Source organism: Homo sapiens, chromosome 1 (assembly GCF_000001405.40).
Source record: "Homo sapiens chromosome 1, GRCh38.p14 Primary Assembly".
Taxonomy (NCBI): Eukaryota; Metazoa; Chordata; class Mammalia; order Primates; family Hominidae; genus Homo; species Homo sapiens.
Genome location: NC_000001.11, coordinates 83,993,895 through 84,009,183, shown reverse-complemented (window position 1 = coordinate 84,009,183; position 15,289 = coordinate 83,993,895). Strand labels below are relative to the sequence as shown.

At 39.9% G+C, this 15,289-nt stretch overlaps 1 protein-coding gene and 1 long non-coding RNA gene across 8 annotated transcripts in view, besides 2 other annotated features; one reads left to right on the top strand and one right to left on the bottom strand.

The window, feature by feature from the left end:
* Positions 1-5,130: 5,130 nt before the first annotated feature.
* LOC124904205 (uncharacterized) lies at positions 5,131-9,896 on the bottom strand. Its single transcript, XR_007066195.1, has 2 exons — positions 9,478-9,896; positions 5,131-5,908 (listed from the first exon to the last, which is right to left on the bottom strand). It is a non-coding gene; the product is annotated as an uncharacterized LOC124904205 (long non-coding RNA).
* Positions 9,897-10,051: 155 nt separating this feature from the next.
* Positions 10,052-15,289, top strand: part of TTLL7 (tubulin tyrosine ligase like 7) — a 134,109-nt gene continuing 128,871 nt past the window's right edge. For all 7 annotated transcript variants that reach the window (XR_007063701.1, NM_001350215.2, NM_024686.6 and 4 more), the window contains exon 1: positions 10,052-10,253. The gene's annotated coding sequence lies outside the window, so the exon portion shown is untranslated. The remainder of the gene's footprint in view (positions 10,254-15,289) is intronic.
* Positions 10,153-10,252: a silencer, noted in NCBI's record as "silent region_1013". NCBI's record gives its function as "represses an Ori minimal core promoter by ATAC-STARR-seq in GM12878 lymphoblastoid cells {active_cell/tissue: GM12878}" and the evidence as "EXISTENCE:reporter gene assay evidence [ECO:0000049][PMID:35858748]".
* Positions 10,263-10,392: a silencer, noted in NCBI's record as "silent region_1012". NCBI's record gives its function as "represses an Ori minimal core promoter by ATAC-STARR-seq in GM12878 lymphoblastoid cells {active_cell/tissue: GM12878}" and the evidence as "EXISTENCE:reporter gene assay evidence [ECO:0000049][PMID:35858748]".

Sequence of the window (15,289 nt, the reverse complement as noted above, 5' to 3'; positions counted from 1 at the left end):
CTGCCTCCTGTGCCACTTCTCCCCTAGTTTGCGGGTACTGCTAATGTCAATGATAAGTTACTGCTCACAGAAATGAGAACAGCTGAAATTAGAACAAATAAACAGCAACAACCCAAAAATTAAACAAAAAGCTCACCCATCTTTGTCACGGAGTTCCCAGGTGTTTTGTGCTTTCCGTGTCTTACTGAGTTTCCAATAAAACAGGCTCTTTCGTGTTGCCGGACTAACGTCTTCCCAGGACTTAAGCCTGGGAGCTGGGTTGGAGGACATTGTGAGCAATAGATATCCAGCTCTATTTGAATCATCCCTCCCTTCTGGCGCAAAGTCATGGTTATTGAAACAAATTTGTGTGCCTGCCCTTTTCTCCCTTAGAATGAATTCTTTTTTACTGGGAAACTCCTCAGACTCTTATTCAGATATATTCTTGGCAGACATTAATCTTCCAGACAAGCCCAAACTTATCTTCAAAGCATGGACTACCTAGAGCTCTGTAAATGCTAGCTTCATTGTTCTTTATGTATCTTTTTTATAAGATGAAAATAGGTGTTAGAGCATACAACATGCAATAATAACTAATACAGACAGCCTGGCTCTATGTAGGTAGTAAAATAGATGATGCAGATTAGATGTCTACTTCTGCCTCTACATCTCAGCATCCATCATGTAAGAACCATAGAACCACGATCCAGGGTAAATATGGGAAGATTTTGAATTGACTGAGACTAAATCTTCATGGCCTGGCGGAGTGGGAGATTCAAATAAAAGTTAATTTGAGTTATAGAAAAACACAGTTAGACCTAAGGGAGATAGGGTCATATCTTGACACAAACACAGCTCCCTTCATCCTCAGCTCTAAGGTGTCTGTCTCTCAGAAGTCTAGTGGCAGCTGGCTTCCATGTGCAACTGGGTAGAAGTGAGTTCTCAGGTTCTGTTGGGGTTCTAGCAGAGGAAACCTAGTCCAGTGCTTTGTCTCCCAAAGGATGGGCAAAGAACAATATCAGGGACTTAGTGAGGACAAAGAGCACTGGAGCCTAGGGAATGCTCGGTGGTTAGAGATCTGTAGATCTTTGGATAGAAGACAATGTTGGCTCAGATCTCCATACCTTCTACACAAGGCCAAGAAAGAACTGTGCAGGAAGACTGGATCTTCCTGTTTCTGAGGCTCTGAGAGTACCAGGAGACTTGAGAGTAGGAGAGTTTCCTTCAAGACCTGGAGCAGGGTCTGGTGGCCTCTCTGCTTTCAACTGTAGGTGGAGAGGGCTTTATCTTTCACTGTCGGTGAGATTATTGTCATTAAGCATCTGAGCTCCAATGAACTGATGTAGAAAAATAACCTGTCCAATGGCTCAGAGGCAGTAATCAGAGCAAACAAAGAACTGTTAGAGTTAAAGGGGATAGTGACAACTTGAATTGTGATTAAAGAGTAGCATAAATAATTCTTTCTGAAACTGAAAACATGGCTTCCCAAATAAAAAATTCACGAAAAGAACTGAAGGACAAGATAGTCTCTATAGAAATCTCAACTAAAGGTCTGAAAGATCAAGGTCTGAGAAATACTTCAAAGCATAAGGCAAAAGAGCATGAACCTCAAAAAGAAATGATAGCATGTTTTAAATTTCAAAAGACAATAATTTAAAATAACCAGAAGAAAATTCCCTAGTTTAAGACCTAAGTGTGGTGAAATTCTTCTCTGTCTCTCCCTCTCTCTCTTTTTAGAGACAGGGTCTCACTATGTTGCCCAGGCTAGTCTTGAACTCCTGGCCTCAAGTGATCCTCCCACCTAGGCCTCCCAAAATGTTGAGTGTACAGGTGTTAGCTATCACACCTGGCCCTTGTGGTAAAATTCTTGAATGTTAAAGATATAGGGAAAAACTCACAAGTTTCAAGCAGTAAGAACAAATTATCTATAATGAGAAAGTATTAGACTTGATCAGATTTCACATTTGTAATAATGGAAGCTAGAAACAAAAATTAACTAGAATCTATAGTTTAAGAATTGGACCCTAACCAAAGGATTCAGTACCTGGACAGGATATCATTCACTTCTCAACATAAAATAAAAATATTCATAGATACACAAGAAAGAGTTTATTACTTAGTACTTCATCACAGGAAAATCCATAAGAAAAGGCCTGAACTAAACAGTAAATAGACCAGAATAGAAATCTTTAGAGATGGAACATGATGAAGAGAGAAGCAGAGCTGAAGGATAGGAGAGAAAGAATGCTGAAAAAGGAAGAAAGTGAAAATATTTTACAAGACTTGTCTTATTCAAATGGAGGAAAGAGGGGAAATATAGGACCTGTAATATGGTTTGGCTTTGTGTCCCCACCCAAATCTCATCTTGTAGTTCCCATAATTTCCATGAGTCATGGGAGGTAACTGAATCATCGGGGCGGTTACCTCCACGCTCTTCTCATGATAGTGGGTGAGTTCTCATGAGATCTGATGGTTTTGTAAGGGGCTTTCCCCCCGCCTTCCCTCAGCACTTTTCCTTGCTGCTGCCATGTGAAGAAGGACGTTTTTGCTTCCCCTTCTGCAATGATTGTAAGTTTCCTGAGGCCTCCCCAGCCATGCTGAACTGTGCGTCAATTAAAACTCTTTCCTTTGTAAATTACCCAGTCTTGGGCAGTTCTCTATAGCAGTATGAAAACTGTATAGCAGTATAAAAACGGACTAATACAACTATTAGGAAAATAATATCTTTCTTTCATATGATGGTCTTGTAGTACTATCTTATTATAAGAGCAAGGGAAGGGAAGATAACAATTTATGAAAAGGAAAAATCCCAGCAAGCTTGCAGATAAATGAGTAGAAAGGGGAATTAATGAAACTTGATCAGACTGGCAATCATAAAAAAATGTAAAAGGGAAAACAACATGATAAAATAAATAAGTACAAAGTAAGATGGGAAGAATAAACTTACACATATCAGGCATTTCACAAAATGTGATTGGACTGACACTCTCTTATTAAAAAAAGACTTTATTTAAAAAGTAGATTTATGTTTTTTGAAAAATGCATACCTAAAATACAGTAATAAAAGAGCCTGAAGATAAAAGAAGAACCAAACCAGACAATGAAAAAGCACAGAAAAGTATGAACAGAGGCAATTTTAACAGCAAACAATGCAGAATAGAAGGTTAAAGCACTAAGAAATATAAGGAAAGATATTATCAAATTGATTATATGTTCTGTTTTTAGCAAACAAAATAAAAAAAACTAAATAAACAAGCCAAACTTTTAGGACTGCAAGGGGACATTTTATTTAAATTAGAAAAAGGAAATTAAAGAACATGATAAAAATAATTGTTCTGGATTTTTCAGTGTATCTCTCCCAGAAATGAAATGATTTTGACAAAAAAGAAAAGCTATGGAGACAACATAGAGTAAGTGAGTAATACAATTATTAAACTTAACATGTTAAACATTGTCATAGTCCATTCAGGCTGCTATAACAAAATACCATAGACACAGTTCTGGGGCTGTAAAGTTCAAGATCAAGGTGCCAGCAGATTTAGTGTCTGGTGAAGGCCTGCTTTCTGGTTCATATATGACGCTTTCTCCCTGGTGTCCTCACATGATGGGCAGGGCAGGGTAGCTGGCTGGGGCCTCTTTTATAAGGCATTAATTTCATTCATGAGGGCTCTGCCCTCATGACCTAATTGTCTTCCAATGGCCCCACCTTCTAATAAAATCACATTGATAATTAGGTTTCAACATATGAATTTTGTGGGAACATAAACTTTCAGACTATGGCACTTTCTTTTTGAGATAGGGTCTCACTCTTTCACCTGGATTGAATGCAGTGGTGCAATCATCGTTCACTGTAATCTCGAACTTCTGGGCTCAAGTGATCCTTCCACCTCAGCCTCCCTAGCAGCTGGGACTACAGGTGTGCCAATTTTTTTGTCGAAACAGGGTCTCACTTTGTTGCTTAGGTTAGTTTTGAACTCCTGGCCTCAAGGGATGCTCCTGCCTTGTCCTCTCAAAGTGTTGGGATTACAGGCATGAGCACATATTAATATAGTACATTTTATTCTTTGAATACACACATACACACGCACACACATATATATACACACCCCCACCCACACACACACACACACACACACATATATACACATATATTTCATAGTTCCCTAAAACTTTTACAAAACAAATCATGTGCTTAGCTGAAAGGAAAACCAAATTCAAAGAAGTAGAAAGCTTACAGGTTACATCCTCTCACCACAGTTCAGTAAAATAAATTGGAAATAAAGAAGCACATAATAAGACAAACCTTGTATGACAGAGGAAATTAAATAATATAGAAATGTCCAGAAACATTGACAAATCAAACACTCTAAAAATAATGGGACACAGCAAAAACTGAACTCAGAGGAAAATGTGTTGCCTTTAATTATGGAAGCAGAAAGGTGAGTACAAAGGCATTAAGTAAGTAATGAGTCCATGTAAGAACAACAACAATAGCAAAAAGAAAACAAAAGAAACTCTGAAGAGGTATCAACAGTGAAATTATTAAAATAGATAAAATGGTAGAAAAGAATGATAAATTCAAAGATTGCTTCTTTAAAAAGACAAATAAAATAAACATCATGTGAACCTGCTAAGGAAAAGATAATAAGATCATAATTAGACATGATCAATTGTGTGAAAGTAGGAAAGAGATTAAAAGAATTCTAAGTAAATACTAAAGATGATCCTAGCAACACATTAGGAAAATAAAACCTAGAAGAAGTGAATACTTTCCTAGGAAAATATACATGATCACAACTGACACAGAAGAAGTGAAAAACTTGAATAGACCAATTATTACAGAAGAGATTGGAGAAGTGATTAATGATCTGCTATTGAAGAAGGCCACAGGCAGATGAATTCACAGCTGAATTTTTAATCTAACTATTAAAGAACGGATAATTCCAATATTATTTAAACTATTGTAAGTCTTAGAAAAAAATGGAAAGTTCCCCAGTTAATTTCATGAAGCCAGACTAACTTGAGTACCAAAGCCTAAGAAGGAGTAAAACAACAATTAAAAGTACAGGCTGATTTCATTTCTGAATATAGCTGCCAAATGTTTAAATAACAGAGAATACAATAGAGGAATGAATCACGTGAATAACATGGTGTGAAAAAATAGGCTTTATTAGAGGAATGAAAAGGCGGTTCAATATCAGGAAGTCTAGCTACATATTGATTACATTAAAAATTAAAGGGAAAAAGCCCAACCATTATCAATAAGTTGTGGAAAGGCATCAGATAAAAGTCAAGTGACTTTAAGCAAAATAGAATCAGAAAAAATTTCTTTTATAATAAAGGAAAGCCCAATAGCGAACATCATCCCAAATCACAAAAATTAAATCTTTCACTTAAAATCTGGAATCAGGCATCACCACAATCACTTACATTAGTGATTCTAACAAATATAAATAAAATAACTGGTATAAATTATAACAAATATACATTTTTATATATTTTATAAACAGTCTCACTCTGTTGCTCGGAGTGGAGCCAGTGGCGTGATCAAGGCTCACTGCAGCCTTGAACTCCTGGACTAAGGGATCTTCCCACATTGGCCTCCTGAGTAGCTGGGACTGTAGGCTGGTGCCACCACGCACAGCTAATTTCTTATTTTTTATAGAGACAGATCTCCTTATGTTGCCCAGGCTGGTCTCAAATTCCTGGGGTCAAGTGTTCCTTTCACGCTGGCCTTCCGAAGTGTTGGGATTACTGGCATAAGCCATTGTGCCCAGCCAGAAACAAAGTTCTTGATATTGCTGATATGCCTGTTTTCTTGGAAAATCCAAGGGACTCATGAAAAAACAAGTAATAAGATAATTTGGTGCACTGAATGAATACAAAATAAATTACAGAAAGCATCATCTCTCTGTTCTGGTAGAAGACCCTACAAAAGGAAATGGAAAGAACATTTCATTCAGAATACAAGTGCTATAAAAAATTTGGTACAACTTTGGTAAGAAAGTTACAGAACATATATAAGCAAAATTATAAAAATATGATTGGGAAATGAAAAAACATAAACTAGAAAAGCTTATTATCTTCTTGGATGAAATGACTTACTGTCATGTAAATTCTCCAAAAATTAAAACAAAAGTCTAATGCAATATGACTTTTTGTCTTATATAAAATGCCGTATAATAATTAAAAAGGGCTTAAAGTCCAATATCTATATATAAAAGTAATTTTGAATGAGTATCATTTTAAATTTGGGGCTTTTTGAAGATTTGTTGAGAATGACAAAAACAACACTGAGAAAAATTCTAAACCCTTTAATAAATACATTTTATATGATAAATGTAAAATTACATAATGTAGGTTTTAAATAACAGCCTCTTATTTCCTTCTTAATAAAAGGTGGGATTAAGGGGTTAAGTCTAGAAGCCTGAATGTTATTTTTTGTAGGCCCCATATTGTTTTTGTCCAGTATGGTCTGGTCAAACTTGGCTGTACATTAGAACCACCTACAGAACTTCATAGGAATCTAGTTTCCAGAGTCTCATGCAGGAGTTCCTGCAATCATAATTTTGCAGCAAGAATTTTAGGCATCACTGGTCAAGTTTATGTTACAAGGTTCACTTCTTATTCTTAAATTCAGGGTCTCTTTTCTGAGCACAGAAACCTAGAAAAGGGTATCCAATGTTTAAATCTTCTGTGGGAAATGACTCATTTCCTCTTAGAAATGAGAGTTGAAAACAGGTTTTTAATAATAAATAAAAAATAGATTCTGCTGCAGAGAAACATGCAATGTACATGTTCTCTATAGCAGGAGACAGTAAAAGTATGCTGATATTCACGTCATGTATTGGTTAGTGTTTGAAATCCAGCTTTGTCTCTTTCCAATTGTGCTACCTTTGACAAATTAATACACCCTTGTAATTCTCAGTTTCTTCATTTATAAAATGGGAGTGATAATAGTACTTACTTCACATAATACTAGTTACTCAAACACTAATGATTTAATAAGTGTTAGCTAAACGCAAAGAGAAACAACACAATTAAGCACTCTCTTCAGCAAGAATAAGTTGAGAGGTTAATGTCACCACATGCTTTGGTAAGAGACCAACACATAGCAGGTACTGGAATATCTTGCATCAAGATTTAACATTTTGTGGCTCACAATGCAGTTTTATCAAAGGCATTAAGTATTCTCTTTCTCTCTAGCTCTCTTCTTATTAGTATCATTTAAAAAGTAATATTGGAATGTTCCCAGATCATGCTAGTTTGTGAATACAAATGAGTTCATGTTAATATCGGTGCCTAAATAAGGTTTAACAATCATCTTGAGTTTAATAATGATTCCCTTGACCCTGCAGTGCCTCCCTAGTCTCCATCATTTGCAGCAAGAAATCCTCAGCAGTGTCTTTCAGGTGCTCAGGAATAATACCACTCCTGCTTTACTGCTCTGGGCTCCTACTTAAGTTACCTTGACCTTGTATCGGCCACCAGTGTTCTTTATGAGAATATACCCTCACTGGGCAGATCAGTTCCTATCGCTGGCAAGGCTGTATGGAGGTCTATTTCAGGTTGGGTGAGAGAATGGCTCTCTTGCCAGCTCCATGCTGTCATTTGTCACCAGGCCTAAAGTAGTACTTCTTAGAACTTAAATTTCACAAAGTCATTTGTGGGGAAGATGATTATTTAGCTTCTGGCCCTAAGTTCTTTACACAGCAGGCTCAAAACCATTTGAGGACTCTGAGGAAAGCAGGGAATGCAGGCATCACACCATTCCTTCCACTTCTTTTGACAATTTCCCAAGGCTGCCAGCACAAAAATTCCCCTTTCTTCATTCAGAAACATATGTTCCAAGAGTGTCAACTTATACAAACAGATTGCTGCAGATGTCACTGGCCCATCCGCACCACAAATCATAAGGCTCTAAATTCCTTTCTATATCCCTATCATCTAACATCTGACATAAAGCACTAACTCAGAAGACGCCTCATCTACATGTGTTCTGTTCCTGTTGTTGCCTTTGAAAGTGAAACAACTGCACATGGAGAGAAGAATCACACATTTCTGAGCCTGAGGCCAGTCTGGCCACTGGGGACCCAATGCTCCTGCTCCTCGGCAACATGCAACTTTGGGGATTTCTGTTTTGCTGCTGCTGACGTGTGAATCTTTACAACAACCATTAACATAGTAACAATATCATATCATACAGAAACAATTTAATTTTATTCCTGATTTCTCAAAAAGCTTTCTTGAGGTGACGTTAAGTGTTGCTAATACCTCTGTTACTTAACATTTTTTTTGATAAGGTATATGAGGACCCATGATAATAGGTTTATTGAAAAATTCTTGCCCCTTCCTAGGAATGGAAGAATGATAACATGTAATGTAGTAATAGTGCATGCATAGTGTAAAGTGTAATACAGTGAAAATAATGATGTAAAGATGATTAACAAGAAGGCAGTGGAGAATTCCTCTTCAACCTCATGTGACCTTGACAGTGTATTGTGACGCTGATGTTCGGCTAGTTCTGGGTGAAGTCCAGCTTCTTCTTTCTGATCACTCTTCTTGCCTCAGGGTGATGCCTACCCTGGACACCTAACTGCCCCCTCTCCATTCTAAAACCCCTTCTCACAAAGGAAGGATAAACAGACTCACATTCAAGTTGCAATCACAGATGTGACACGGTTTAATGTATATCGTTCTCAGAGGCATTCTAGGGGAAAGGAACAAGTCAAAAACTCCAGGTGGCAATGTCTGCTCTGCCGCTTATGATCGTGAGACTAACCCAGCACGACAAACCCTGAGCCCAGTTTCTCACCAGTGTCCTTTATGAGAAGATGCCCTCACTGACCAGATCAGTTCCCAATGCTGGCAAGGCTGTATGGAGGTCTATTGCAGGTTACCAATCTCACAGGAGTTTTTAGAAGAATAAATGAAGAAATGAAAATGAGACTATTCTCAGCACAGTGGTCTATAGAAAGTGCTGAATTTATGTTGATTTACTCAACGAAGGACAAAACTTTAAATTGTGAAATTTTATATTTTTTGGGATGCACTTGGAGGGCCTTTTTTTTTCCTACCTTTAATCACATTTTATAGGTAGTTGCCAATTCTGTTCTATCTTTTCTTTTTTTCTACAGGGAAAACTGTACACTTGTCCTGATCTTCACCATGCTCTGAAATGAACCTGTGTGAACCCAGCGTGACAGAAGCAGGGACCACAAAAGTCTAAGGAATTCATGTGTTAGGACTTCTTCCAGTTCTATACAATTCATTTTATGAGAAGACATGATTGCCTTCCCGTTTTCAAGACACGCAACTCTAAAATGGTGAACAATGAACCTCGAATATTCTTTAATTTCTGCAACAATCTTCTGTAAATCTTTATCTCGAAATGGCTTCCTAAATCTACATTTTTTTACAACTGCCGTGGTTCAACATTTGCTTAGCAGGAACTCTAGGTCAGAGCTGTCCCTCAGCATCTACGGGATGGGGCCCCACCTGATTTTATTTCCTAACTTTCGAGCTGGCCTCAGATACCCGTTTATTCTTTGCTTCACAAAGATGCTTAGATAAAAGATCTGAAGACTCTCTTCAAAGATTCAAAAAGCTCCACTGTTTTGTGGGAAGATGTCTGTGGTCAGATAGGCAGGTGGATCGGGCGCCTAGGGCCCGGAGGTAGAAGGAGGTGGCCGGAGGCGCTCAGGCCAGCGCCTCTCGCATCTCTGAGGAGGGGCGCCGCCCAGGCGCTCGCGTTGCTAAGTCCTCTGTTTGCCGCGTTCTAAAGGAGCCCCGAGCGGGACCAAGGCAAACGGGGGGGGGGTGTGTGTGGCCCGGGAAAGCTCGAGCAGTGTCTTCAGTAAACCCCCAGAAGAGGCAGCGGCCCCTCCGTTGATCCCTCCTGTCCCCAGGACCTCCTGACTCCGAGGGGGCAGAGGATTCCCCGAGTCCTTTGTTCCTCCCAACCGTCGCCGCCCCCGGCGCCCGCGCCTCTCGGCACGTCGTGCACCCCCGGCCGCAGCAGGCGAATGGTCTGGCCCGTCGGTAGCCGCCACCCGCTTGGGCAGCGACAGCTGTTCCAGGCACTCCGCGTCGAGCACCGGAGTCCCGAGCCGTGGCTGCCACGGGCGGTGGGCGGGCGGAGGAGAGCACCGGACCACCAGTGCAGGCTGCCGAGTCGGGGCGGCCGCCCACGGGGAAGCTGCGAGGCGCGGGAGCACCTGGGGGACCGCTTGCAGCGGGGACGCGAGGACCCGGGCTGGGCTTTCCTCACCCGGGTGAGTACCTGCTGCCGCCATCCTCCCCCGACCCCCTTCCATGTCCCCACGTCCCCAAAGGCTCCGCCCTGGCCCTCTTTCCGGGCCCCCATCCCCGGACTGTCACTGCTCTGGGGACACCGTCCCCGCTGGGAGCCGCGGAACGGGGAGCTGCTGCGTTCGTGCAAATGATTCAGCACCATTCGTGCCCTGAGAGGTTTGGGCAGAATGGGGGAGGGAGAGGGCGGAGGGGACGGGGTCAGTTGCTGTGATCTCAGCTCAGTTTTTAGGCTCCAGATGGGAGACTCGGGCGGGCGGGGTCGGGTTGGGTGAACGAGGAGGCTCCCTGCTGGTTTATTCTGTAATTCCGTCGTTTTCCCACATCGTGGTATAAGCCTCCGCGAGTATGCGGGGCATTCTTGAAAGGGTATCAAAATGCCCTTTTCGCACATGCGAGTGAAGTCTAGGGCCCTTGTAGGTACCTCTCACTTTCTCCACATCTTGCTCTGTTGGATGCCTGACTCATGCCATCATCCACTTATATCACATCGCAGCGTTCCCTCGACTGATGTAAAAGATACCCTATGAAAGTTGCCTTGTATTCTGGGTGGGTTTGATTGATCCTGGCATAGAAAGAAAAGATTTAGGAGAGGTAGGAAATAATACCTTCATAGCCTAGGCACTTACTTTTATATATCGTATTTTATTAAATCATCATAATCCAGAACCAAATGTGGAAACTGAGGAGCAGGGAAGTTAAATTACATTCTCAAGGTCACAGAACAGGAATTCGAATATAGGTTTTCCTGACTCTATAGTCCATGGATTTTCCACTGTATTAATGGAGTGTGTCCAAGTGTACATATATATGCTCTATTAGATATTAAACATAGAATTAATTAATTGAGGAGTAATCTCAAACAACAGCAACAACAACCTGTAAACTTTCTGCATAAGGAATTATTGCTCCTTCAATATGAAAGAAAGATGCTTTGAATCATGTGAAAAATAATCTATTTTCTTAGAAAGCTTATGGCAAAAAATATGTGAACAACACTACATAGGAGAGTGAGGTCATAACAGGAGATGTTCAGCACATTTTTGGCAGTGATATTTGGTGGATGCTCAAGTGTTGGAGAAGTCGATTAAAAACGTAAGAAGAACTCTGGAAATCTTTTTCTGTCTTAAATGTTAGGGAGACATTTACAGTAATAATAGTTACTTAGTTCATGAGGTGTGCGACTGAACTGCACCCCACAATAGGGTGACAGGTGAACCCATACTAAGATAATGTTACTTGATTCATTACAACTCTGTGATATTGCATAACAGGTGATAACTCCATTTTACAGACTAAGGAACAAAATTCAGAGAAGGTTCAAGACCACTCAGTAAGCCATGGAATTTGGACAAGCCTTGACTCTTAGTCAGTTTAGAAATATGAGTGTTGTAGTAAAATGTAGTTCTTATATAGTGGGAAACTGAATTAGTTTGTTGTTACCCTGCCGTTAAGAGTCAACAATTATATTGACCTTCTATGCTCCTTCTGTAAAAATAATGGATGCTAGGTCTTTCTTCGCCCGTTGATGGGTCCTTTGACTTGCTTTCATTAGCGACTTACAGATTTTTTCTTAAGAAATGCATCTCTTGTTTATGTCTCAAGAGGCAGGTTGCTATAGTACAGATGCTCATTATCTCTAAATACTCACATAGTATTGATGGTAGGCAGGAACAGAGTCATCTTAGTATGTCATTTCTAAAGTATTGAACCATTTGCATTGGAGAATTCTTTTTCAAGTTAACGGGGGTATTGATAAAGTCCACTGCCTAAATAAGGACATAAAATGGAGGCACAAATTTATATTTGTTGTTCAAACAAGAGTATGAGAAGTGGGGTCTTGTGAAGAGTCTTGAGTTTGATTCCTAAAAGTCATTTCATTTTGTTCTTTACATGGCTATAACCTATATCCTGAACCTTGGCAAGGCATCTTGTAATCCAATCTGTTTAATCCTAAGGGGGACAGCAGAACTGGCATGAATGAATAAGCAAAAATACAATACCACTGCTGTTAAAAAAAAAAAAAGGAAAGTGCATGTCCTGGTGATGGATGGTCAGCAGCAACATTTTAAAACAGAGACAGCACATTTTACTTAGATGACATCACTGAGAGTATGAATATAATACCAACTTGGCTTTAGAACTGCTCTCTCTCCTCTGTCCAATGACTACAGTCTGCAAACCATCTAAATTCCCCACTTCAAGGAACTTAAAGTCTAGCAGGGGAAATTTTACTTACACGTGAGTAATTAACAAATAACTTAGAATTGGCTTAATACCAGAAAAGGGTGGTGCAGACCTACTGCTATAGCGGTACCTTAAGAGAAAAGAGAAATAGTAGAGCCTTGGATGATCAGAGGATCAGGAAAGTCTTCATGGGTTGAAGTGAATTAAATCAGTCTCAGAGACTGGAAGGATTCTGATAGGCAAAGAGAAAGCCACATAAAGGTTCAGCTAAGAAGTGCTCATCTACTGTTTGGATACATGGTGAAAGATCATGAAGAAACTTGAATGTCAGACAGTGAGATCTGTTTCTGATCTGTTAATCATTTCTCTTTCTTACATTCTCCATATCTGTTGCCCCGAGTCCCCTTCCAGGAAATGGTCTGTTTCCTGGGTACTAAAAGGATTGTCAACTAAACTGAGAAAAAGTTTTCTGTGCAAGTACAATTTTTCCTCTTCCAAAGGAATTTGCCTTTTAGCTCCGGCCCCCATTAGATAATTATGAACAATTTGGAAAGTTTAAGAATATAAAAAGGAAAAAAACACCCTCATAATTTGACCAACTAAAGACAATCACTATTCATTTTTGACATGTTTCTTTCCACTTTTTTCATGCGTAGTTTTAATTATGGTATCTATATTACTTTTATATTATTTTTAAATTTAAAATTCTATAACTTTAGTTTTCATTTAATTACAACTGGCTTAATACTAGGTTTAAAATGCCTAATAGCAGGCTTAAAAATGACTACATAATTTTCCATTTGGTAGATGTATTATCATTGCCTAATTGTTCCTCATTGTCACTATTGATGACATCATAATAAACAATTATTGATGATAATAATAGCACTGTGATGAACATCTTTGTGCGTATGCTTTTTTTTGTATTTTGAATATTAGTTCCTTTGCATAGAGTCTCAGAAATAAAATTTCTGGGTTAAAGGGTATGAGGTCTTGAAGTTGCACTATTTTAAGCAAGTTTTGAAACTACTGAGTTCTTATATTAGGCCATTCTTGCATTGCTATAAATAAATACCTGAAACTAGGTAATTTATAAGAAAAGAGGTGTAATTGGCTCACAGTTCTGCAGGCTGTACTGGAAGCATGGCAGCATCTGCTTCTGGGGAGGCCTTAGGAAGCGTCCAATCATGTTGAAGGGGAAGGGGGAGCAGGCACGTCACATAGCAGAAAGCAGGAGCAAGAGAGAGAGTGAGGGGGTGGTGCCACACACTTTAAGTGACCAGATCTTGTGAGAACTCAGAGTGAGCGCTCACTTACCGCCAAAGGGATGCATTAAGCCATTCATGATGGATATGTCCCCAGGATTCAAATATTTCCCACCCCCACCTCCAACACTGGGGAATAAAATTCAACATGAGATTTGGATAGGGACCCATATCCAAACTGTATCAATTCCCAGTGTTCAATTTGGAATACTTACATGTTGATTATAGAATATTTGCATATTAATAATTCATAACACCCAATCTTGTCTGTGGCTCCTCAGATTATAGTCTTTCAAGCAACTTCTTTTGATTAGACTAAAGACTGATTAAATCATGGAGACTGGGAGAAAGGCAGGCAGTTGGTGTTACTGAGGAGAGAAGATACTAAGTTGGAGAACAGGCTTGGTGAGAGTGAGTAAGAGTTGATAGTCAGAGAAGGAGAATATGTGATAGACTACTTTCTGGTTCCAGTGTTGTATTTGTGGACTTCAGCTGTAAACCTCTGCATTCCCTCACCCACAACACACATATCTATCTCCTTCAAATTTCAGTTTATTCTATCCTCTTATATCAGATTCCCAGGTCTCCAGCTTCAGGGTCCTGATATTGCAAGGCACAGCTGTGAGCTCACTTTTGCACTCTAATTTGGGGAATTCACAAAGGTGAGAGCAGGAATTTGGGACCTCTGCTTAGGTCTGAGCAGAAGTCCTGGGCACAAGGTATAAGGTGTAAGGGAGGGACAGTTGACAGACATTAAAGACCTCTCCTGCCTCCCCTGTACATTTGCCAGAGATGACCTTTGAGAACAGTGATTGTCAGATGCATAAAGTTCCCAACATCTCTTCTCAGCATTCAGATGCTCCCCCTCCCCTTGTTCCCAGTATCCTTCCACCAGAGGAAATTCCCCTCATGCAGGAGAGAGACTGTGCTTCAGTTTCCTCTATTCATTGTAGGGATACTTGGCACTACCTTCTTGCAATGAGAAGGGCAGGGGCCCAGTGTTGGACGGGTCCTTTGGGCTCCTGACTTGCTCCTCCAGGTTCTCACCTGAGCTTCCTCACTGTCCTACCTCCACTCTCTTTCAAGGCTGGGAATCCATTGAGGTAGGCAGGCCATTAAGTGTCTATGAGAGCCAGTGGAAGCAGAGCCAAGGCAGATGAATGTGCCTGAGGGCACAACTAGGGAGCAGAGAGGCAGGTTCTTATACTATGCCATCAGTCTTGAGAGACTTGAAACAATGAAAACAAAAGCATCACATTATAAACCAAAAAGAGGATTCCCACCCCACTTTTCAGGTCCTGAAAGAGGATTTCTGATAGAAGCTGGACATTAACATAGGCAGAGTATTTTAGGCAGAATTTGTCCTGTGCTTAGTTGAAACCTATTATTGAAAAGTTTGTAAGCTCTTAGAAGGTGGTAAATCTATCTCCATTTCTCTCAGGCATTATCTGTCAAAGTTGAAGTGAGCTTAGCAAATATTTTTCCTGGAGTTAAGTTAAAGTAGAAAAGTTAAACTTAAATAAGCTTGAGTATTCTCCACTAATCTT